This window comes from Homo sapiens, chromosome 2, assembly GCF_000001405.40.
Source record: "Homo sapiens chromosome 2, GRCh38.p14 Primary Assembly".
NCBI lineage: Eukaryota > Metazoa > Chordata > Mammalia > Primates > Hominidae > Homo > Homo sapiens.
In genome coordinates, this window is record NC_000002.12 from 205,597,158 (window position 1) to 205,620,438 (window position 23,281).

At 41.9% G+C, this 23,281-nt stretch overlaps 1 protein-coding gene across 16 annotated transcripts in view; it reads left to right on the forward strand.

Annotated features, from left to right (window-relative positions):
• Positions 1-23,005, forward strand: part of PARD3B (par-3 family cell polarity regulator beta) — a 1,074,688-nt gene extending 1,051,683 nt beyond the window's left edge. For 15 of the 16 annotated variants that reach the window (XM_047443208.1, NM_001302769.2, NM_205863.4 and 12 more), the window contains one exon: positions 18,299-23,005. In XM_047443208.1, coding sequence (XP_047299164.1) covers positions 18,299-18,656 — 358 coding nt within the window. In that variant the 3' untranslated portion in view covers positions 18,657-23,005. Of the gene's footprint in view, positions 1-13,038; positions 13,365-18,298 lie in introns of those variants that run through there. The other variant, XM_017003287.2, reaches the window with a different exon arrangement.
• Positions 23,006-23,281: the final 276 nt, after the last annotated feature.

The following is a 23,281-nucleotide window of genomic DNA, read 5'->3' on the forward strand; positions in this document are numbered from 1 at the left end:
AAATAGGTGGTTTTTCAGCCCTCACTCTCTACTCTTGTAGTCCCCAGAGCCTATTGTTCTCATCTTTGTTTGTGTGTACTCAATGTTTAGCTCCCACTTAAAAATGAAAACAAGTGACATTTGGTTTTCTATCTCTACATTAGTTCACTTAGGGCACTGGCCTCTGGCTGCATCCATGTTGCTTCAAAGGACATGATTTAGTTCTTTTTTTATGGCTGCATGATATTCCATGGTGTATATGTACCACATTTTCTTTATCCAGTCCAGAGTTGATGGGCACCTGGGTTGATTCTATGTCTTTGCTATTGTGAATAGCATTGTAATAAACAAAGAGGTACGTGTGTCTTTTTGGTTGAATGATTTATTTACCTTTGGGTATACACTCAGTAGTGGAATTGCTGGATTGAATGGTAGTTCAGTCTTCTTTGAGAAATCTCCAGATTGCTCTCCACAGTGGCTGGATTAACTTACATTCCCACCAGCAGTGTATGAGTATTCCCCTTTCTCTGCAGCCTCACCAGCATCTGTCGTTTTTAGACTTTATAACAAAAGCCATTCTGACTGTGTGAGTTAAGGGACAGGTCACTTGCCTTGAAGGGAAACCCCATAAGGCTAGTAGCGGACTTTCAGCACAAACCTTAAAAACCAGAAGAGACTGGGGGCTTGTTTACAGCATCCTTAAAGAAAAGAAATTCCAACCAAGAATTTCGTATCCTGCCAAACTAAGCTTCTAACTGATGGAGAAATAAAATCCTTTTCAGCCAGAGAAATGCAAAGGGACCACTAGACCTGCCTTAAAAAGGGAATGTTAAACATGGAAACAAAAGAATGATGCCTGCCACCACAAAAACACACTTAAGTACGTGGCCCACAGACCCTTTAAAGCAACTACACAATCAAGTCCACATAACAATTAGCTAACGCCACAATGACAAGATCAAATCCTCACATATCAATATTAACCTTGAATTTAAATGGGCTAAACACTCCCGTTTAAAAGGCAGAGAGTGATAAGTTAGATAAAGAAACAAGACTCAGCTGTCTGCTGTCTTCAAGGGACCCCCTCTTACACACAACAACACCTATAGGTTCAAAGTAAAGGAATGGCGAAAGATGTATCTTGCAAATGGAAAACAGAAAGGAGCAGGGGTTGCTAATCTTCTATCAGATAAAACAGACTTTGAATGAACAACCATCAGAAAGGACAAAAAAAAAAAGCATTCCATAATGATAAAAGGTTCAATACAACAAGAACACTTAACTATCTTAAATACATATACTCCCAACATTGGAGCACTCAGATTCATAAAAATAAATTCTTAGAGACCTACAAAGAAACTTAGCCACACAATAATAGTGGGAGACTTCAACACCCCACTCACAGCATTAGTTGTTTGCTATTGAGGCAGAAAACTAGGAAAGATATTCTGGACTTAAACTCCATACTTGACCTATTGGACCTAATAGGCATCTACAAAATACTTTACCCAACAACCACAGAATATGCATTCTTCTCATCTGCACAGGGAACATACCTAAGATCGGCCACGTGCTTGGCCATAAAGCAAATCTGAATACATTTTTAAAAATCTAAACATGCCAACTGCACTCTTGGACCACACTGCAATAAAAACAGAAATCAATACCAAGAGGATCTGTCAAAACCACACAATTACATGGAAATTAAACAACTTGCTCCTGAATGACTTTTAGGTAAAGAATGAAATTAAGGCAGAAATCAAAAAATTCTTTGAAACTAATGAGAACAGAGACACAAGATACCAGAATCTTTGAGATAAAGCTAAAGCAGTGTTAAGAGGAAAGTTTGTAGCACTAAATGCCTACATCAAGAAGTTAGAAAGATCTCAAATTAACAACCTAATATCACACCTACAGGAATTAGAAAAACAAGAACAAAACCAACCCCAAAGCTAGCAGAAGAAAAGAAATAACCAAAATTAGAGCAGAACTGAACCAAATGGAGACATGCTCATTTCTTTCAACAGAAAGTGAACCCAGAGGTTCATGAATATGTTATATAAACCTCACTTAGTATTATAAATTTAGGGGGAATAGATTACCAGATGTAAAAATTTTTTAAAGGCTCATGGTAGATCTTACATTGAGGCACATGCAAAAAGCTCTTACCAATTAGGTTATCAGTATTTAAATTTCATAGCACTACATCTAAAAAGTCTAATGTTCACACAGTTCCCAAAAGACTGAATTCACCTGTCTCCAGAAGTTGTATTATCATGCCAGTGGTCTCACTGCCTGATGAGTATAGAAGCCAATAACATGGCACCAACATTTGAGAAAAGGAAGTCTTTATTGCAAGACCAGACAGCAAGGAAAAAGGAGTTGGGCTCAAATCTGCATCCCCAGTTTGCTGTCTGGGGCAAGTTTTGAGGTGTCAGAGGGCAAGGGAAAAGATTTAGGAATGTTGGTTTTGTAGAGTCTCATTGGAGAGCTTCAATTTCGACCATTTACATTAAGGTATGTTGAGGCAGATTTTAGCCCTGGATTTTTCAGGCCAACAGACTCTTCACTTCTGAAAGAGTTTCTGCATTCAGGTTCCAGTCACGTATGAATCTTCTTGGTTCTGTAGGGAGGAATCGTTGGTTCTGGGTGTTGTTAGAGGTCAAAGCTTTCTCTCTTGCACATGCCTGGGCTGCCCGACTTACAGTTTTGGCTCTATTTTACCTACATGGTAACTTTATTCTGTTATCAACAGAGTAGGCCCAGTTTGGGCTGGTCCTATGGTTACAGTATTACCATGCTTTCATCCGAGAGTGTGATGTCCTCAAAATTTCTTCAAAGTTGGTAAGCAACTGGCTATAGAATTCAGCTGTCCTTCAGAGTCACATGCACTGATGCTACAGTTCTGCACTGCTGACCTGCCCTTCTCTGAAGCTGAACCACAACTTTTCCTGCCTGTCTTTGAATCCTAATATACTATTACTATTGGAATGGTCCATTGGAAAAGGGATTTGAGCCTAAATCAAGACTGCAGCATGAAAGTGGACAGCCATGAATAGCTAAGAGAATATTTGCTAGAACCCGATGTATGACTGGAGCAGGGATGAGAGAGAAGTCTAGATTTCTAGTGGGCTAACTGCACGAATCATGACATTCTCCAAAGAGACCGTTGGAGGAGCAGCAGGTTTAGGGAGAGGTGATTGGTTTAATTTTGTACTCATAAGGTTGAGGTGCCTAGGGAACCTCCAAGTAGAGCTTTCCCACAGGTAATCCACATCACCCCCATGTTCCTAATCCTACTGAATAAAAATCACACTCTTTGTTGTTGGTGGTGTTGTTGTTAACTCAGTTGGTTTTCTTTTCTCAGGTTTAGTCTTTTAAGTTCTAGGATACATGTGCAGGACGTGCAAGTTTGTAACACAGGTAAACGTGTGCTATGGTGGGTTGCTGTGCCTATCAACCCATCACCTCGGTATTAACCCCTGCATGCATTAGCTGTTTATCCTGATGCTGCCCCTCCCACTGCCACCCCGACAGGTCCCAGTGTGTGTTGTTCCCCTCTCTGTATCCATGTGTTCTCATTGTTCAGTTCTTACCTGTAAGTGAGAATATACGGTGTTTGGTTTTCTGTTCCTGCATCAGTTTGCCGAGGCTAATGGCTTCCAGCTCCATCCACGTCCCTGCAAAGGACATGATCTCATTCCTTTTTATGGCTGCATAGTATTCCATGGTGTATATGTACCACATTTTCTTTATCCAGTCTGTCATTGATGGGCATTTGAGTTGATTCCATGTCTTTGCAATTGTGAATAGTGCTGCAGTGAACATACATGTGCATATATCTTCATGAGAGAATGATTTATATTCCTTTGGGTATATACCCAATAATGAGATTGCTGGGTCAAATGGTATTTCTGGTTGTGGGTCTTTGAGGAATTGCCACTGTCTTCTACAATGGTTAAACTAATTTAGATTGCCAACAACAGTGTGAAAACGTTGCTTTTTCTCCACAGCCTCGCTGGCATCTGTTGTTTCTTGACTTTTTAATAATCACCATTCTGACTGGCATAAGATGGTATCTCATTGTGGTTTTGATTTGTATTTCTCTAACAATCAATGACGTTGACCTTTTTTCTCATATGTTTATTGACCACATAAATGTCTTGTTTTGAGAAGTGTCTGTTCATGTCCTTCCCCCACTTTTTAATGGGATTTTTTTTCCTGTAAATTTATTTAAGTTCCTTATAGATTCTGGATATTAGACCTTTGTCAGATGAATAGACTGCAAAATTTTTCTCCCATTCTGTAGGCTGTCTGCTCATTCTGATGATAGTTTCTTTTGCTGTGGAGAAGCTCTTTAGTTTAATTAGATCCCATTTGCCAATTTTTGCTTTTGTGGCAATTGCTTTCGATGTTTTCATCATGAAATCTTTGCCTGTGCCTATGTCCTGAGTGGTGTTGCCTAGATTTTCTTCTAGGGTTTTTATAGTTTTGGGTTTTACATTTAGGTCTTTAATCCATCTTGAGTTAATTTTTATGTAAGGTATAAGGAAGGGGTCCAGTTTAAATTTTCTGCATATGGCTAGCCAGTTTTCCCAGCACATTTATTAAATAGGTTTCTAGTAGGCTAATTGCATGAATCTTCTAGATGGGGTCTTCTAGATATAGAATCATGTCATCTGCAAACAGAGACAGTCTGACTTCCTTTCTCCTATTTAAATACCCTTTATTTCTTTCTCTTGCCTCATTGCCCTGGCCAGAACATCCAATACTGTGTTGAATAGGAGTGGTGAGAGGGGGCATCCTTGTCTTGTGCCAGTTTTCAAGGGGAATGCTTCCAGCTTTTCCCCATTCAGTATGATATTGGCTGTGGGTTTGTGATATATGGCTTTTATTATTTTGAGGTATGTTCCATTAATACTTAGTTTATTGAGAGTTTTGAACATGAAAGAATGTTGAATTTTATCAAAGGCCTTTTCTGCATCTATTGAGATAATCATGTGATTTTTGTCTTCAGTTCTATTTGTGTGATGAATTACATTTATTGATTTGCATATGTTGAACCAGCCTTACATCCCCGGGATAAAGCTGACTTGATTGTGGTGCATAAGCTTTTTGATGTGTCGCTGGATTTGGTTTGCCAGTATTTTAATGAGGATTTTTGCATTGACGTTCATCAGGGATATTGGCCTGAAGTTTCCTCTTTTTGTTGCATCTCTGGCAGGTTTTGATATTAGGATGATGCTAGCCTCATAAAATTAGTTAGGGAGAAGTCCCTTCTTTTCAATTGTTTGAAGTAGTTTTAGAAAAAATGGTATCAGCTCCTCTTTGTACCTGTGGTAGAATTCAGCTATAAATCCATTTGGTCCTGGGCCTTTTTTGGTTGGTAGGCTATTTATTACTGCCTCAATTTCAGAGCCCATTGGTCTATTCAGGGATTCACCTTCCTGATTCAGTCTTGGGAGGGTTATGTGTCCAGGAATTTATCCATTTCTTCTAAATTTTCTAGTTTATTTGCATAGAGCTGTTTATAGCATTCTGATGGTTGTTTGTATTTCTGTGGGGTCAGTGGTGTTATCCCCTTTATCATTTTATATTGTTTCTATTTGAGTCTTCTTTTCTTCTTTATTAGTCTAGCTAGTGGTCTATTTTAATAATTTTTTCAATAAACCAGCTCTTGGATTCATTGATTTTTTTTGAAAGGTTTTTCATGTCTCTATTTCCTTCAGTTCTGGTCAGATCTTCATTATTTCTTGCCTTCTTCTAGCTTTGGGCTTGTTTGCTCTTAGTTCTCCAGTTCTTTTAATTGTGATGTTAGGGTGTCAATTTGAGATCTTTCTAGCTTTTTGGTGTGGGCATTAGTGCTATAAATTTCCCTCTTAACACTGCTTTATCTGCATCCCAGAAATTCTGCTGTGTTATCTCTTTGTTCTCAGAGGTTTCAAAGAACTTCTTGATTTCTGCCTTAATTTCATTATTTACGCAGGAGTTATTCAGGAGCAGGTTGTTCAATTTCCATGCAGTTGTGTGGTTTTGAATGAGTTTCTTAATCTTGAGTTCTAAGTTGGTTGTGCTGTGGTCTCTGTTATGATTTCAATTCTTTTGCATTTGCTGAGGCATGTCTTACTTCCAGTTATGTGATCAATTTTAGAGTAAGTGCCATGTGTCACCAAAAAGAATGTATATTCTGTTGTTTTGGGGTGGAGAGTTCTGTAGATATCTATCAGATACACTTGATCCAGATCCAAGTTCGAGTCCTGAATATCCTTGTTAATTTTCTGTCTCCATGATCTGTCTAATATTGACAATGGGTTGTTAAAGTCTCCTACTATTATCATGTGGGAGTCCAAGTCTCTTTGTAGGTCTCTAAGAACCTGTTTTATGAATCTGGGTGCTCCTGTATTGGGTGCATATATATTTAAGATAGTTAGCTCTTCTTGTTGAATCGATCCCTTTACCATTATGTAATACTCTTCTTTGTCTTTTTTATCTTTCTTGGCTTAAAGTCTGTTTTGTCAGAAACCAGAATTGCAACCCCTGCTTTTTTCTGCTTTCTATTTGCCTGGTAAATTTTCCTCCATCCCTTTATTTTGAGCCTGTGTGTGTCCTTGTGCATGAGATGGGTCTTTTGAATACAGAATACAATGGGTCTTGACTCTATGCTGCTTGCCATTCTGTGTCTTTTAATTGGGGCATTTAGCCCATTTTCAGTTAAGGTTAATATTGTTATGTGTGAATTTGATCCTATCATCATGATGCTAGCTGGTTATTTTGCAGACCTGTTGATGCAGTTGCTTCACAGTGTCATTGGTCTGTGTATTTCAGTGTGCTTTTGCAGTGGCTGGTACCAGTTTTTCCTTTCCATATTTAGTGCTTCCTTCAGGAGCTCTTGCAAGGCAGGCTTGCTGGTGACAAATTCCCTCAGCATTTGCTTGTCTGGAAAGGATTTTATTTCTCCTTTGCTTATGAAGCTTAGTTTAGCTGGATATTATATCCTGGGTTGGAAATTCTTTTCTTTTAGAATATTGAATATTGGCCCCCAGTCTCCTCTGGCTTGTAGGGTGTATTAGTCCATTTTCACACTGCTGTTAAAGACATACCCAAGACTGGGCAATTTACAAAAGAAAGAAGTTTAATGGACTTACAGTTCCATGTGGCTAGGGAAGCCTCACAATCGTGGTGGGAGGCAAGGAGGAGCAAGTCATGTCTTACATAGATGGCAGCAGGCAAAGAGAGAGAGCTTATGCGGAAACTCCCATTATTAAAACCATCATATCTGATGAGACTTATTCACTATCATGAGAACAGCATGGGAAAGACTTGCCCCCATTATTCAATTACCTCCTACTGGGTCCCTCGCACAACACTTGGGAATTCAAGATGAGATTTGGGTGGGGACACAGCCAAACCATATCATAGGGTTTCTGCTGACAAGTCTGCTCTTAGTCTGAGAGGCGTTCTTTTGTAGGTGACCTGGCCCTTCTCTCTGGCTGCTCTTAACATTTTTTCCTTCATTTTGACTTTGGAGAATCTGATGATTATGTGTCTTGGGGTTGATCTTCTCAGGGAGTATCTTACCGGTGTTCTCTGGATTTCCTGAATTTAAGTGTTGTCCTGTCTTGTTAGGTTGGGGAAGTTCTCCTGGATGATGTCCTGAAGTATGTTTTCCAACGTGGTTCTGTTTTCGCTGTCTCTTTCAGGTACCCTAATTAGTCATAGGTTCAGTCTTTTCACATAATCCCATAGTTCTCAGGGAATTTGTTCATTCCTTTTCATTCTGTTTTCTCTAATATTGTCTGCCTGTCTTATTTCAGCAAGATAGTCTTCAAGCTCTGAAATTCCTTCCTCCTCTTGGTCAATTGAGCTATTGATACTTGTGGTTGCACTGTGAAGTTCTTGTGATGTGTTTTTCAGCTCCATCGGGCATTTTTGTTCATCTCTAAACTGGTTATTCTGGTTAACAGCTCTTGGGATTTTTTATCATGGTTCTTAGCTTCTTTGCATTGGGTTAGAACATGCTTCTTTAGCTCAGTGAAGTTTGTTATTACCCACCTTCTGAAGCCTACTTCTATCAATTCATCCATCCCAGCCTCTGCCCAGTTCTGTGCTCTTGCTGGAGAGGTGTTACAATCGTTTGGAGGAAAAGAGGCACTCTGGCTTTTTAAGTTTTCATCGTCTTTTTGTTGTTGTTGTTGATTCTCATCTTCATGAGTTTATCTAGCTTCGATCTTTGAGGCTGCTGGCCTTTGGATGGGGTTTTTATGGGGTTTTTTGTTGGTAGTGGTGGTGGTGCTATTGTTGTTGCTTCCTTTTAGTTGTGTGTGTGTGTTTTGTTTTGTTGTTTTTTGTTTGTTTGTTTGTTTTAACAGTCAGGCCCCTCTTCTGTAGGGGTCCTCTCCAGACCCTATTCACCTGGGTTTCTCCTGCACCTGGAAGTATCACCAGTGGAGGCTACCGAATAGCAAAGATGGCTGCCTGCTCCCTCCTGTAGGATCTCTGTCCCAGAGGGGCATCGACCTGATGCCAGCAGGAATGCTCCTGTATAAGGTGTTTGGGAACCTCTGTTGGAGGGTCTCACCCAGTCAGGAGGCACGGGAACTGGGACCTGCTTAATGAAGTGCTCTGGCTGCCCCTTGGCGAAGGGAGTGTGCTGCACTGGGAGGAATCCCACTTGTCCAGACTGCCCGGATTCCTCAGAGCCAGCAGCAGGAAGACTACATCTGCTGATCCATGGAGATCACAGCCGCCCCTCCTCTCAGGAGCTCAGTCCCAGCGAGATCAGAGTTCTGTCCCTAAAATCCTGGCTGGAGTTGCTTAAATTCCTGCAGGGAAGACCCAGTTGGTGAGGAGGGATGGATCAGGGTCCAGCCTAAAGAGGCAGTCTGGCCACGATCCGCCACAGCTGCTGTGCTGCACTGTGGGGAATTCCTCCTGGGTCCAAACCATCTAGTCTCCCTGGCGCCAGCAGGGGAAAAATGGCAGACTGGAGCCACAGTGATGACAGCCACCCCTCCCCACAGGAACTCAGTAATCTTAAGCAGTCTGCAGCCAAGTGGCCACCAAGAATCTACACAGCTCTGTTCTTGGGACCCAGGGCTCTGATGGCATGGGCTCACGAGTGGGATCTCCTGATCCATGGGTTACACGGAACCATGGGAAAAGCATGGTTTCCCAGATGAAGTAGCACAGTCACTCACTGCCTCCCTTGGCTGGAGGTGGGAGCTTCCCTTGCCCCATGTGGCTCCCAGGTGGGCTGTCACACCACCCTGCTTTTCCTTGCTCTCCATGGGTCATGCCACCCACCTAGTCAGTCCCAATGAAAGAACCTGGATACCTCAGTAGCTGGTGCAGAATTCACTTGCCATTTTTTTCTTCTCAGTGGGAGCCTCCGACCACAGCTGTTTCTAGTTGGCCATCTTGGCCCCTCCCCACCAAAATCACACTCTTTAATCCTTCCTATGCTGCCCCTGGTATTTAAGACCCTTCATGATCAGGCTCCAGATACCCTCTCTAGACCAACCTTCTGCTTCTTACTTGCCTGCTCTTGACAAGCCAGCATCAGAGGAATGTCTCTGTTTCCAGAACACTTTCCAAGGCTGTTAGCTCTGTATCTTTCCTCCTGTTGTTTATCTCTTCAGATGCTCAGGATAACTGACTTATATTTATATTCCAGGTTATTTGCAGAGCAGGTAACACGTCTTACAAACCCCCATAGCCACAGGGATTCCTTAAAGCTGGGTGCCAGCTCCACCTGCATCAGAATCACCTGGGCCCTTGAGAGAAATGTAGGCTCCCAGACCCCTTTCAGACCTTTTCCTGGGGTTGCAACCCCAGAATCTGTGTTATTCAATAAAGACTCAATTGATTCTTAGTGATGCCAACGTTCAAGGTACTAGACCTGGAACACAGGGTCTTCCAAACGGAACCGCACAAATATCTGTTTGATTTTCATAAAGGGCACCAAGAAACTTTGCTTTCCTTAAGAAAGGCACCTCAAGGTCTCTGAATGAAACTTCCCACATGGAATGTTGTTTGTGCTCTTTCTGCAAGCACCATCAGCAGTTTCAGCTTCTTGGGCCGCTAACAGCCAAAGTACCCATTGGAAAAAAAAAAAAAGAAGTCTCTTTTTAGTGCATTAGATCCTGTTTTTTAGAAATGTGTTTCCAAATATAAACCAATTTCTTTCACCCGGTGCCAGCAGGCACCATGTGAGCAGATGAGAAGCAAGTGAGGTCAGAGACTGCATGGTCTAACTTAGTGGTCAGGCATGCAGCCTCTGGGTCTGTCTGTCTGCCTGGGCTTGAACTGGGCTCTGCCACTACCAGTGTGACTTTGATCACATTATTTAACCTCTCTGCTTCTCGGTTTCCTCATCTGAAAGCCAGGGATAATAATAATGCCTACCTGGTAACATTGTTATGAGGAATAAATCCGTCAAATGGAGGAAACATTTAGGATGGAAACTAACTTGCTGTAGGCACTTGGGAACATGCTGCTGTGCTCAGCAGGCTTATGAATCTTTGCAATTCTAAACCCAATGTTTGAAGCTGGTTACTGAGCCCATCAAGTAGAGTGGCACTCTTCCCTGCACTTACATTTCTGCTTCTGAATTTCAGAGTAAGACAATTGCCGTGGCAGGATTCTCCTGTGTCTTAATGAAATCATGACATGGAGGCCCTCTCCCCCAACACCCATACACACACACACACACACACACACACACACACACACACACACACACACAGAGGCATGAAGATGGAAGTGTTTAAGTCTCCTTCGTTGTACTCCTTGCCCTTGGTGAAGAGGGATTCTAATAATCTAATGATCATAGGTAGTTTACATCAAAATCTTCCTATTGCACAGGCTTTAGAAATTAATGGGAGGGGAAAGGGGTCAGGTAAAGATGTGGCCATGATGCATAAATATCTACTGCAAAAATTGCATGTGCTACTCTAACATATATATGTAATCTAAAATAGTTAGGGAAAAGCAGACTTCAGGAACAGTATATTTTGCCCCTAGAGTGTTCTGTCTCCAGGTAGCACCTTGGGCAGGTAACTGTGTAGTGGTTTTTCCTAAGGGGCAGGAGGAAATCAGGACCTTACACTGTTGAACCTGTTAGCCCCCAAAGTCTGACCTTGGAATTGAACCATTGTCTGCTACATGATTATCAGACGAAATCCACAGTGTTTAGATACTGAAATTCTAGGACCACAGTTACAATAGAAAGAGAGAGAGATGATTTAAGGGGCCTATCAAGTTAGGATGATTTGTTCCTTTGGTTGCCATTCTCTTTAAACAAAGCCTGTTCTGTGGATAAACAGACCATGGGGTAATGATATGCAGGTATCGTTCAAATGGATTGCATGACTGTTTTTTGTGGCCGCGCAGGATAGCTTCTGCCTTCCCCAAGATTTCCCTCTCTATGTTGTTCTCAGTTATCTTTTCTAATTGTTCTCAGCACCCACTTTAAAAACCTCTCATCCCCTCATAAAGGAAATTATTTTAGCAGGACCATTTTTAGGACCATCTGATAGGATGAAACACTCTTAAGGACCATTTTCCAGATAATGTCTGCTGAACTGTCATACAGAATCCAAAACTCATTGCACACGCAGTTTGTTAATAACTCAATTCTTGTATTTGTGGTCATTGTTTAAAAAAAAAGAAGGAATTAAATATGAGCAACCAAAATTATACTTGTTTAAACTGTTTGAGAAATGTCTTTGAGCACTCAGTCACTATCCTTTCTCCTTCATTTTCTGTACAAACATTTCCTTGGTGTGTATGAGGGCCACAAGCATCTGCTGCTGCACACTCCACCCATTCCAGTTCTTTGGAAAGAACAAGACCCCCCTCTTCTCATAACACAATGGGAAATGTGAGTGATGAAAGCGGATTTTTTTCCATAATCATTTCTATAATATAGGCCATCAAATGATCATTATATTTTATGATTCCGTAAAATCTGCCGAAATCAAAGCTATGTAATATACGTTGCAGAGGGCTCTGCTAATCCTTGCCAACCACATTCGTGCCTGGACCGAGGAGGAAGGTCTGGTAACTGGAAACCTGACACTAAAGGAATTCTAAGCACAGACTAAAAGCATCTCTGTGCACATAGCATGGGCGACTCAAGTATATTAGTTTGTGCTGATTTTTTTTAAAGCTTTGCAGTATTTGTAGAAGAACCAGAGAAGAAAGCACCGACCCCAGCTCAGCCACTAAATAATCTATGTGTGGCATGCTCAAGAATAGCATGGCTCTGCCAGATGTCGACTTTCTGCCAACGGGTACAGGCACCTCTCTTAGACAGCTCACAGGAGTTTTACATCATGTTACTTCCTGCCGTTCAAACCCCAAATTTGGCCACAGTCAATTATTACCAAAAAAGGAAACCCATAAAGGCTACTTTGGAAGTTAAAAAATTAGCTTTGTTTTGGCTGCTAATCACACACATAGTATTTTATAGAAATTAAGAACAAGATTCTACCCTTTGGAAGGTTTTCTGTAAGTGAAAAACCCAATGCATATGCCTAAGCCGGACATTCACACCTCTGCTCATAAATTCTTCATGGTTTTTATACTTTCTGCTGCATATCTTATTTCTTCACATACTAAACTCACCCCCTTTCAAAACAAACTATCTTCTAGTTGCTGATGTGTCTCCAACTTAGTTGTTTTTCCCCTCTGTGACTCTTCAACTTCATCTATCCTTCCACATCCTAAAAGGAGCTCATCAGATGAGATACTGTAGGAGTTCTTACACTCTGCCTTGAGACATGTAGAGGAAGTGTGCTCAGTTCTGTATTGCAAGAATCTGTCACTGATATTTGAAGACAGGATTACAAATGATTTCTTTTAATAAATTATAGCAGACTCAAGTTTTCCCCTTCAATAATGTCACTCCCACTCATTTGAATTCCCTTGTTCTTTCCTGGATGGAAGGAAAGGGTGTTGAGTTACAGCAGGTGGCAGAGAAGTTTGCATAATTCTGGATTCTGCCTCTCCTGGGTATGAGTAGCTTATATGAAAATCATCCATCACGTCTGTTCTCAGGGAGAAAAGCTTGGGAGGCACTGGGACAGAGGGAACAGGACACCACCTTGACCTCGGGTTCGTGTTCATCAGCCCTCAAGCCCAGGTACCACACTTGTAACTATGGTCATCACACCTGGGTTTGACATTGTCTCCCTAAGACCCTGTGTTTGAAATCCTGTGTACTGTACTTTGAAATACATAAAGATGTTCCTAGATTATTGCATTTATGACAGAGACAAAGAAAATTTCTTTGCTGTACCATCATAAAAATAGTAGTTAACTGACCCTTGAATAAATACGCTTAGCCTGTACCTAGTAAGCCCAGTTTCCAGTTAATCTTGAGTCAAGAGAGCTCTCAATTTCCTCAGCACCAGTTAGTCATGCTGAGCTCACTGGGAAGTCAGAGAAATTGAATCCCAGTGTAAGATTTATTGAGCACCTATTGTATTTCAAGTACTCTGTAGGGCAACAGAGATAAGACAGTATAATCTTGTTCTTGGCAAACAAGACAAATAAAATAACCTCTACCCTGATAAAATTTACAGTCATTCTGTGTTGGACCCAATACAACCCTTTATTCAGCCCACCATCCCTCCTACTTCCTTCCTTCTTCAGAATTTAGAAATCAGTCTCACCTCAACCACCATCAATCCCTGGCTCCCAAAGAAAGCCCACTTTCTCCTCTTTTCCCCTACCTTCCTCCAGCCCCTACCCACATTCAACCTTTTATAGTTACTGTATGTGTGTGGGTTTTCTCTTTACTTTAAACTCTCTTGAACAAATTCAACATACATTTGTAGAGCACCTGTGATGTGCAAAGCCCTGTGTTAAGCTCGAAGGGAGATAGTTAGATATGTAAGACTCAGTTCCTTCCTTCAAGATGCTTGTACTCCATGCAGTATACAACCAGCCACAAGGCAGGGTGAAAGACAGATGAGGTGAGAATGACCAGCTGTGGCAGAGACAGAGGAGAGAGATTTTCTTTGCAATTGAGGGTGGTGGTGTAGACATAGGAGGATTCAAAATTGCTCATGCCCCTTCATCTGTTCCAGTAAGTACAGCCACCTCATTCCTAGCAAGAGGTTTGCTATTAATTTTGTCCTTCCAGTATTGAGCCCTTTCCCTATACAGAATTGTTTTAGCAAATGTAGGAAGATGTCTTTCATCCTTGCGTAAACTGAAGGTAGTCAGCACCCAGAGCTGGCTATCTGACCAGCTTAGTCTCTGATTTCCAGCCCCCCTTTTGCTTAATGAAAAATACTGACATACTGACATGGCAAAAAGAAGAAATCCTTATGTAAACAAAGTGATGCTTATTGCTTCTTTACATGTAAATAACATATATCTTTGTCGTGTTCAGACTTAATGGTTAACTTTCTTTATTGCGTGCATCTATGTGATTGAAAACTGCATGCCTGAGATAGTTCCTATCAGTTTTCCAAGCAAAATCTGAATCCTTCTGGCCTCTGGAAATGAGCCTAATCCGAAATAAAATAAGCAATAATTTCAAAATATAGGTATTTTCATGACAGCCCCCTCTACGAGTTGTAAAGAAAACAAATATGGGCTTGTTTCTCTTTCCTTAAGTAAATATGGTTTCTGAGTAAAATTTTTAAATTGAAAGTTTTTAAAGAAAAACAGTAACATATACAAACAAAACTCAAGAAGTCACATGAAAAATGAAAGGTCTTAAAATACTGATACATTTGTTATGCGGATTCTTGTTTTAATCAGAATCTCCTAAGGAAGCTGCCCCTGGATTCCTCAGGGTTGGCTCAAAGCACACAGCATCCGACACCGTGATGAGCATTGCTGGGGCCCCAGAATGGATTGGTTTTGGGCTTTCCTACAAACACTAAATTTCACACAAATAAAGAGACTATGAAAAGAGAAACTCACGATTAACAAAACTAAAATTTTAGCTGCCTTTTCTTCCTCTAAGTTCTGTAGTTGATGAGGAGGGGCTTATTTTCCCTGTTTCAAAATTCTTCTTGAGACAGAGTCTCTTTCTGTTGCACAAGATGGAGTGTAGCGGCACAATCTCAGCTCACTGCAACCTCTGCCTACCAGGTTCAAGCAATTCTCCTGCCTTAGCCTCCCGAGTAGCTGGGATTATAGGCATGCACCACCACGCCCAGCTAACTTTTGTAATTTTAGTAGACAGGGTTTCACCAGGCTGGTCTCAAACTCCTGACCTCAAGTGATCCACCCACCTTGGCCTCCTAAAGTGCTGGAATTACAGGCATGAGCCACCGCCCCCGGCCAAAATTAGTTTTTTTAATAATTTAAAATAATACACACATAATAGTCAGAAGAACTTAGAAGTTGTTCTGACAAAAGTCTGTAGGAAATTCTGTTATGAACAAAATGTTGTTATAAACAACAGCTACACACCATCCCCCAAAATAAAGAAAAATTCTTCTAGCACTCTTTGAACCTTAAACAGTGTTTTAGTAGGCCAACTCATTGTTTTTCTTCTCTCTGAAAAATTAAAAATGCTAACTGTTATGATGAGTTCCACAGAAAAAGACAATTTCCATGACTTCATTTCTTGACAAAGAACAGCTACCTCTCTTGCTTTCTGCCACATACAAGCAAACTCCCAGACATAAAACCTCCCCTCAGAGGAAGCAATATGGGACCACAAAAGTATCTTGAGGTCTGCCCTATCTGCCCACGGGAAGCCTCCCCCTCACTGTGAGCTGTGAGCACTGGCTGCCTGGGAGGAGCAAGGTGTGGGAGAAGAGATAGCGACTGTCCCCCCATGTGCTCGCCGACTGTACTGTCACAACCTCTCAGGGTGGCTTCTGCCCTGTCACCACTTGATCTGGATTCTCTCTCCAAAAATTTAAAAAAACAAGGCGTGCCTGTCTTTTATAATGCTCTGTTTTAAGAGAGAGAAATCTCCAGGGAGAGAACAGGACCCTAAAAGTCCAAGGCCTGGAATTCTTCCTTTCTCTCTTTCCATTTTAAACAGGAAGCATTCATGCTAAGAGAGTCCGGAGGGAGGGCTGGTTGTATGTTCATTTGAAGGCAAATAATGTTTGTGTGTTGCAAATGTCAGTGATTTATCCTAAGGGCTTAAAATGAGTGCAGAAAAACCACATGTTTCACTTCATGCAGAGAAATATCTTCAGTGGATTTTGAGAGAAAGTACAGGTTAAGAAAAATTTTTTGAGTGTATCGGATATCTCCAACATGAACCAAAAGGAAATGAAAATGAGCATGGTGAGGTGGAGGAGAGAGACTTAAAGAATTCTTATGATAAAAGATATACCGAAGGCTGGAAGTTTTCTAAATCAAAAATGAAATTCTAAAGAAAGGGAAAGGTGAAATCCAGAGCCTTTATTTCCCATGGCTAGAGTGACAGATTATCCATTTGTGCTCCATTTGTCATGGGCGATTTAAAATACAGCAAAGCAAACTGCACTGAATAATAGCAGCTGATGCTATAATAACTTGTACACAAACAATTTAATTTTTTATCTGAAAACTCTAACTAAATTACCCCAAGCTCAAGGATCTTTCATTATTATACATAGCCAAATTAAGACAAAAAAGTAGAGAGAATTCTATTGTTCATCCTTATAGATTTGTTCACAAGCTGCTTTCTACATGCACCGAGCTGGGAGCTTGTCAAATCTTCATTGATTTGAGCAACTTACAGAGCTGTTTTAACATCCACCTCCACAGATTACAGGGTGATTCTGACCCTCATTGACAGTGCTTGATTAACCACAGACACTGTATTCTCACAGCCCTGTCATTTCTTTCAAGTGTCCTAGCAGTGTGTCTGACATTGGGGAGCTTTCCCTTAATTATTGTTGTTGTTTTTCTTTTTTAAAAATTATAAAAGGGGGAGTGGCAAAAAAATGGGAAGGATCTGGGGATGGTGGTGGTGGTGAATGTGTGCACAGAAGGTTTATGAGATTTTAAGAGCTGCAAACAGAACTCATCTGTTTAACCCCAGGCTAGATAAAATGCAGTCATCTGCACATTGTTTAGAGGCACACTGCTTCTGTTATGGCAAACGGATCAGAAGATGCTTGTTTTCTTTAGTGAGAGATCCAGACAGGGCCACTTTCTGTTAGTGTCTATTCTTACCCTGGATGTTTCTGTGTGCCTTACCCATTACAAGGTACAACTTACAGCTGGTTTGGCATTTCCCTATTCTGCTACTGGACTGGTGCTACTTCCTGGCTTTGTGGTAGAGTTGATTACTTTATATCAAAGCTTTAGGTGTGGGCTGGGTGCAGTGGCTCACGCCTGTAATCTCAGTACTTTGGGATGCCGAGCCAGGCAGATCACCTAAGGTCAGGAGATTGAGACCAGCCTGGCCAACATAATGAAACCCATCTCTACAAAAAAAAATACAAAACTTAGTCAGGTGTAGTGGTGGGCACCTGTAGTTCCATCTACTCGGTAGGCTGAGGTGGGAGAATCGCTTGAACCCAGGAGGCAGAGGTTGCAGTGAGCTGAGATCGCACCATTGCACTCCAGCCTGGGTGACAGAATGAGACTCCCTCTCAAAAAAAAAATTAAAAAAAAAAAAAGAGCTCTAGGTGCTCTGGCTTGGGACTTTTTCTAAGGACTGTAGAGCATTTAGGGAGGGGAGGGACATATGAATCCACACCAAGATGTAACAGCAGCCAACCAGAGTTAGACCAAGATGACAGCCCGTTTAAAAGAGCACCTCACAGATTTAGAAAAGCGAGTGCAGTCCATGGAAACTTTATGACTCCAAATAACCTGAACATTTCTATCACCATGCCTAGGACAGACTTCAGCCCAGCCTGTCCTGGATATGGTGGTAGAAAAGGGGAGGGAACTAATGACCCCATCCTTAAGAGAGGCAAACTCACTGCCTTGTTTAGGAAACTAGTTTGGTTACTATAATAAAGGCCAACAGAAAAGGGTATAAACCAGATTGAAGTGTATTTTCCTCTCATGCACCAATGTGAATGGAAGCAATCCTGATTGACATGGTGGCTCCATGGCAACGGGGACCCAGGCTCTCACCTTCTTGTTGCTCTGCCTCCCATAGCACGTGGTTTTCACCTTGTGGCCTAAGATGGTTTTTCTGCTGGCCAACAGGAAGGAGAGAAGGGAAGAAGTTCCCTTCTCTTCTTTTTAAGGGCACGTATCACTTCTGCTCCCATCCCATTGGCCAGACCTATGCGGTGGCCACACCAAACTGCACAGGAGGCTGAGGAACATGTTCTCCAGCCGGACGGCCAGCTTAGGAGCTGCTAACATGTGTCTCTTCTTCTCTTTCCAGGGGAGGACCCGCAGATCCTGTAGACTATCTGCCAGCAGCACCTCGGGGGCTCTACAAGGAAAGGGAGCTTCCCTATTATCCAGGGGCTCATCCTATGCACCCTCCCAAAGGGAGCTATCCCCGCCCCACAGAGCTCAGGGTGGCAGATCTCCGGTATCCTCAGCACTACCCACCCCCGCCAGCTCCCCAGCACAAAGGACCCTTTCGACAAGACGTTCCGCCTTCCCCTCCCCAGCACCAAAGAATGCCAGCCTATCAGGAAACAGGCAGACCAGGGCCCCGTGGGGGCAGCCCAGACCAGTACCCTTACCGAACCCAGGATTCCCGGCAGAAGAACCCCATGACTGCAGCCGTATAGCTGAGTGCCACCGAGGCCAGCCCGGTCCAGAAAGGAAGGTGTCTACTCTACCTTTGCCCTTTCTAAACCTGAAGACCTCCTTGGTGTTAGGAATTCTCCATGTTACTGATAAGCTTTTTCTCACTGACATTGTAACGCATGACTGCTAATCAGAGAGAAAAAGAAGGGGAAGGGAATTGGGGAGGAAAAAAAATCAGAAGGAAGACGAAAGATGGGGCTATAAAAACAAAACTACCTGATAGTTGAAACGCTTTCAGAGTTGTTCAAATCAGTGAGAGTGGCAACGGAACACACAAACAACTAATTATGGAACTCTACTCTGGGGATCCTCTCTGGCTAGATAACCTGTGCTGATGTGCAGACACGTGGACATCCCCCTCTGAGACTGGCGGTCCAGAGGCAGTCTCTGCCAGGCAGCATTACCCGCTCCGAGGTGGAGCCTCAGCCCCCTTCTTAGAGCTGTTAAGTCTAAGGTGTGGCAGAGCAGACAGAGATAGAGGCATCTGAAGTGAGTATAGGTTTTTTGACTAAGAAAAAAAACAACAGCAAACATGACTAGTGATCTTGAAATATTTTGTACCGAGAGAAAGACTGCATTTATTTGTAGAATTTATCAGGTTTCTGATACCACTCATTGGATGTAAACATTTCATGTTTCCTCACTTTTGATATGAAAGTCGGTAAAATGCAGTATTAGTCCCGGGAGGATGTGCACAGCTGGTCAGAGCTTCCAGAAGGAATATCTTCCGAGGACTAAGGTGATCAGGTTAAGAGGGTTCAACATCCCACGGCCCTCACCTTCCTCCCTCCCACATTCCAGGCATGGAGATATCTGGTTTCAGAGTCAGCCCCAAATCTCCTGCCTATAATTACTTTAACTGGGGTCTCTAAGGTTCCCACTTGAGGGCTAAAATGTAGTTGGGAAAGAGGGCCTACTGGGGAGGTCTCACAGGAGGCAGTGCCCTGGGAAATGCCAAGTCCAGACTCAGTGCCAAGCAGTAACCATCTGCACTCGGGGACAGCGAGGAGCTGACCATGGCCTCTGATGACCAGCAGGTATTAGATGGAAGTGAATGAGAGAGAGAGAGAGAGAGAGTATGTGTGTGTGTGTGTATGTGTGTGTTCGAACACATATGATTGCCAGTATGGAGAATGAAAGATTAATAATGCTTTCTGGAGAGTTTGATGCAAAAGTGGGGGAAACGGAGAAAAGGCGCTAAGGCTAAATCCATCTGCATTTGCTATATTTCATTAGCTAAAGTCAGGTCAGGGCAGGGCCAAGGCCTCCAATTGGCAAAGGACAGTGTTATGGCTTTAAAAAGCTGAAACCCCAACCTCTAAGTAGATCACAATGTTTTCTGAGCTTTGCAGTAATTTTCTATGGAAACTAAAACCTCTAAAACATACAAGCTGGCCCAAATGAGAACACAAGCAAAAGATGTGGAAGACAGCAAAACCTGAGCACTGGTTTGAACCAGGCACTGACATTTGAAATGCTTTAAGCCTTTTCACATTCCTTCTTTATTCCCTCCAAAAAAAAAAGTCTTGAGTTTAATTTAGGTCTATTTTGGCTGAGATTAGCATACCTCTGACTCACAGGATTTAATAAATTATAGTATTATTGAATACATAGGACATCCCTCTACCCCAGCTTACTCTTATCTTTTTAATTTAAAATAGTATTCTGCTACCAAGAAGGATGCAACTGCTAGTTTTAGATGTAAATAGTGTTATTTACTGGACTTTGTGATATTATTTTCTTAACTACACTTTACTATGGCCCTGTTGAAAACAGACTATCAAGTTTTTTGTCTCTGTTCTGTCATCTCTCTTAAGCCAGGCACCTTTAGAGTGTTTGCAATTTGTTCGAAGTGGTTGAGGATCTCAGGCCCTGCTCACGTGAGGTGGAGTGCAGGGGAGCTACCGGTTTCCCTGCTGACCTGCTGAATGCTACCTTCCCCTCGAGTTGAATACACCTTAAGGAAAATGATAACACGAGGGACGTGTAACTTGTTTTGAAGCATTAAAAACCAGCAGCTCTTCACTATGTTCCATATTTTAACCAAACTACTGTAGACTACTAAACATAGCCAAGCCAGAACATTCCTTCTGGATTAAGCCTAGGCCACTTGAGGGGCAGCCAGGGGTGATGGTGTCAGGTGAGAATCCTGTGTCTTGAAGGAGTGGCCTTTACAGGAAGAGTGCCCATGTTTTCACCTGCAGCGTTGCCACCAGAGTGTGCAATACCTCCTGCACACAGGCTCAGGGTAAACTGCTCCAAAGCTGGGTTTTGTGTTGCATACAAAGTCAATAAAATAGTTGCTAATCCTGAATGGCAGCCAGTGATGTGAAGGTACTATTAAAGTGAACAAAAACTAGATTGCAACAGTTTTCTTTCCTTGCTTGAAGTATAACACACGCTCCATTTGATCCTGCCTGAAAGAAGCTAACATTATATTTGTGACAGACAGAGGCTCCATCAAGCCAAGCAACAATTAACAGCTCAAGTGTAAGATTTATAAATGCCCGTGTACTCACCCTTCAATTGTTACCACCCAGAGGTTACAGGACTCTTTCCCAGCATTTAGGGGAACAGGCTTTTAGAGTATTTAGAAGACCAGGCTATAATCAGTAATGTGCCTGGGAGCAGGAAATAGCTCCCAATTTATTTATGGCCTTGGGAAAACTCAATCCGGTGTCTCCTTGTAGCTCAGAACACTAATAGCCCCCCTGGAAGAGAGTGGCACATTGAGCTCCAAACCCAATCAACATACATCCACTTGGCTGCAGATCTGACTGCTGGGTCATGAAGGCCGTGAAATGATGTTTGCCCTCAAGTCACTAGATATTTTAAGAAGCCCTATTTTTCTCCCTTTTTGCAGGAGTAGAGAGATGAAAGAGGACAGACCATTGAAAACTTTTAGATGCAGGAGAATTGAGACTTCCACAAGGGAGAGAAACACAGCCTCCCCAGAATCCATTATGCCATCGGGTTGTGGCACTCTCACCCTTGCCATAATACCGTTTCCTAACAATATCAAATCAGTGGATGAAATACAAGCTCAGAAACAGGAACATTTTCCTAAATCATAACCTAATAGCAAACAAAAATTGAAAAAACAATTATTCTGAAGCTCATTATTCTTAGATCTGTAGATATATATGTGTTGACTCCCACAGGATGGCACCAAGTAAAGATCTTAAGAGCATAGTAGGGGTTCTGAGACCGACTGTCACCCGTGGATCCTGATGGGGAAGAACAGAGGCTTCACTGTAGCTATAGTTTTCCACCAAGTCAATCAAATTAAAACATGACTCATTGTCCCCTCCAAAGATTCATAAAATTCTTGAGCTAAAGTGATCTTCTGAAGAAAAGCCACCTAACAATGTTAGGAGGCTCATAAAGCTCATTTCTCTTTTCCCTGGTATGCACAAATATCAAGCCTATAAAAAAGTAATTATTTCCCCAAACCTGTAACCACTGCATTCGTTTTCTTTGGAGGAACATTGTAGCATTTCAGGAGGGTCGAGAGATCTAAAGAGTTTGGTCTGAATGTGTGTCTGTACAATTCCCTTTGGCATTAAACTCTGAAACCTACAATCAATGGCCTTCAAATTGGTGTTAAATTGGGAGAACACCCTACTGCTTTCTGAGTCTACGAGCAACAGAAAGACTGGTCTTAGTGCAATTAGGCAGGAGGGATTTGGACTCAGAAACAGCCACAGAAGTATTTCTCAGCACTCCCAGTTCCTGCCAACTTAGCTGGAAACGATGCCACAGCGAGACCAGAAAGAGGAGTCGCCTTAAGGTATCCCTACAAAGTCACCTTTCTGATAAAAAGGAGGGAAAAAAAAGTTAGATATCTAAAATAAGCCTAGAATCTCACACACAGCTGTGACTTCTAAGTGAAACTCTTTTCTCCCTCATGTCCTTAAATAGTCACAGAATCACACACAGCCTGACTTTTAAAGACAAGCTTGGCTACAGGAAATGAACCAACCCCAAAGACTCTTCTAACCTGTCTCCTGACTGGGCTCCTTCAGAAAGTGTTCTCCTGTTCCATCTGTAGGGCTGCTTACTACTGGAACCTAAAACAAAACCTGTTGTTTGTACCATCACTTTTTCTGGTGTTTCCTGTGCTTTTGTGATTCCAAGTCTGTTCATAAGTTCTGAAGATAAATTATGTGAAATCATATTTTGGCATATGGGGGTGGAGGATGAATTCTTTACAGACTTTTTAAGATGATCCATTTGTACCACAGAAAACATTTTGGAAGTTGTTATATATGAGTATATAAATTTTTCTTTTCATATTTTACATTAAAATAAAGCTTTATTCAGTCATTAAGACGTCAGAGTCTTGGATTGCTTTAGGATGGGGTTGTCCAATCTTTTGGCTTCCCTGGGCCACCTTGGAAGAATTTTCTTGGGCCACACATAAAATACACTAACACCAATGACAGCTGATGAGCTAAAAAAAAAAAAAAAAAAAAGCTGCAAAAAATCCCTCAATGTTTTAAGAAAGTTTATGAATTTGTTTTGGGTAACATTCAAAGCCAACCTGGGCTGTGGGTTGGACAAGCTTGTTTCAGGATCGGATCTGATGAATCAACAAGTGGGTCTG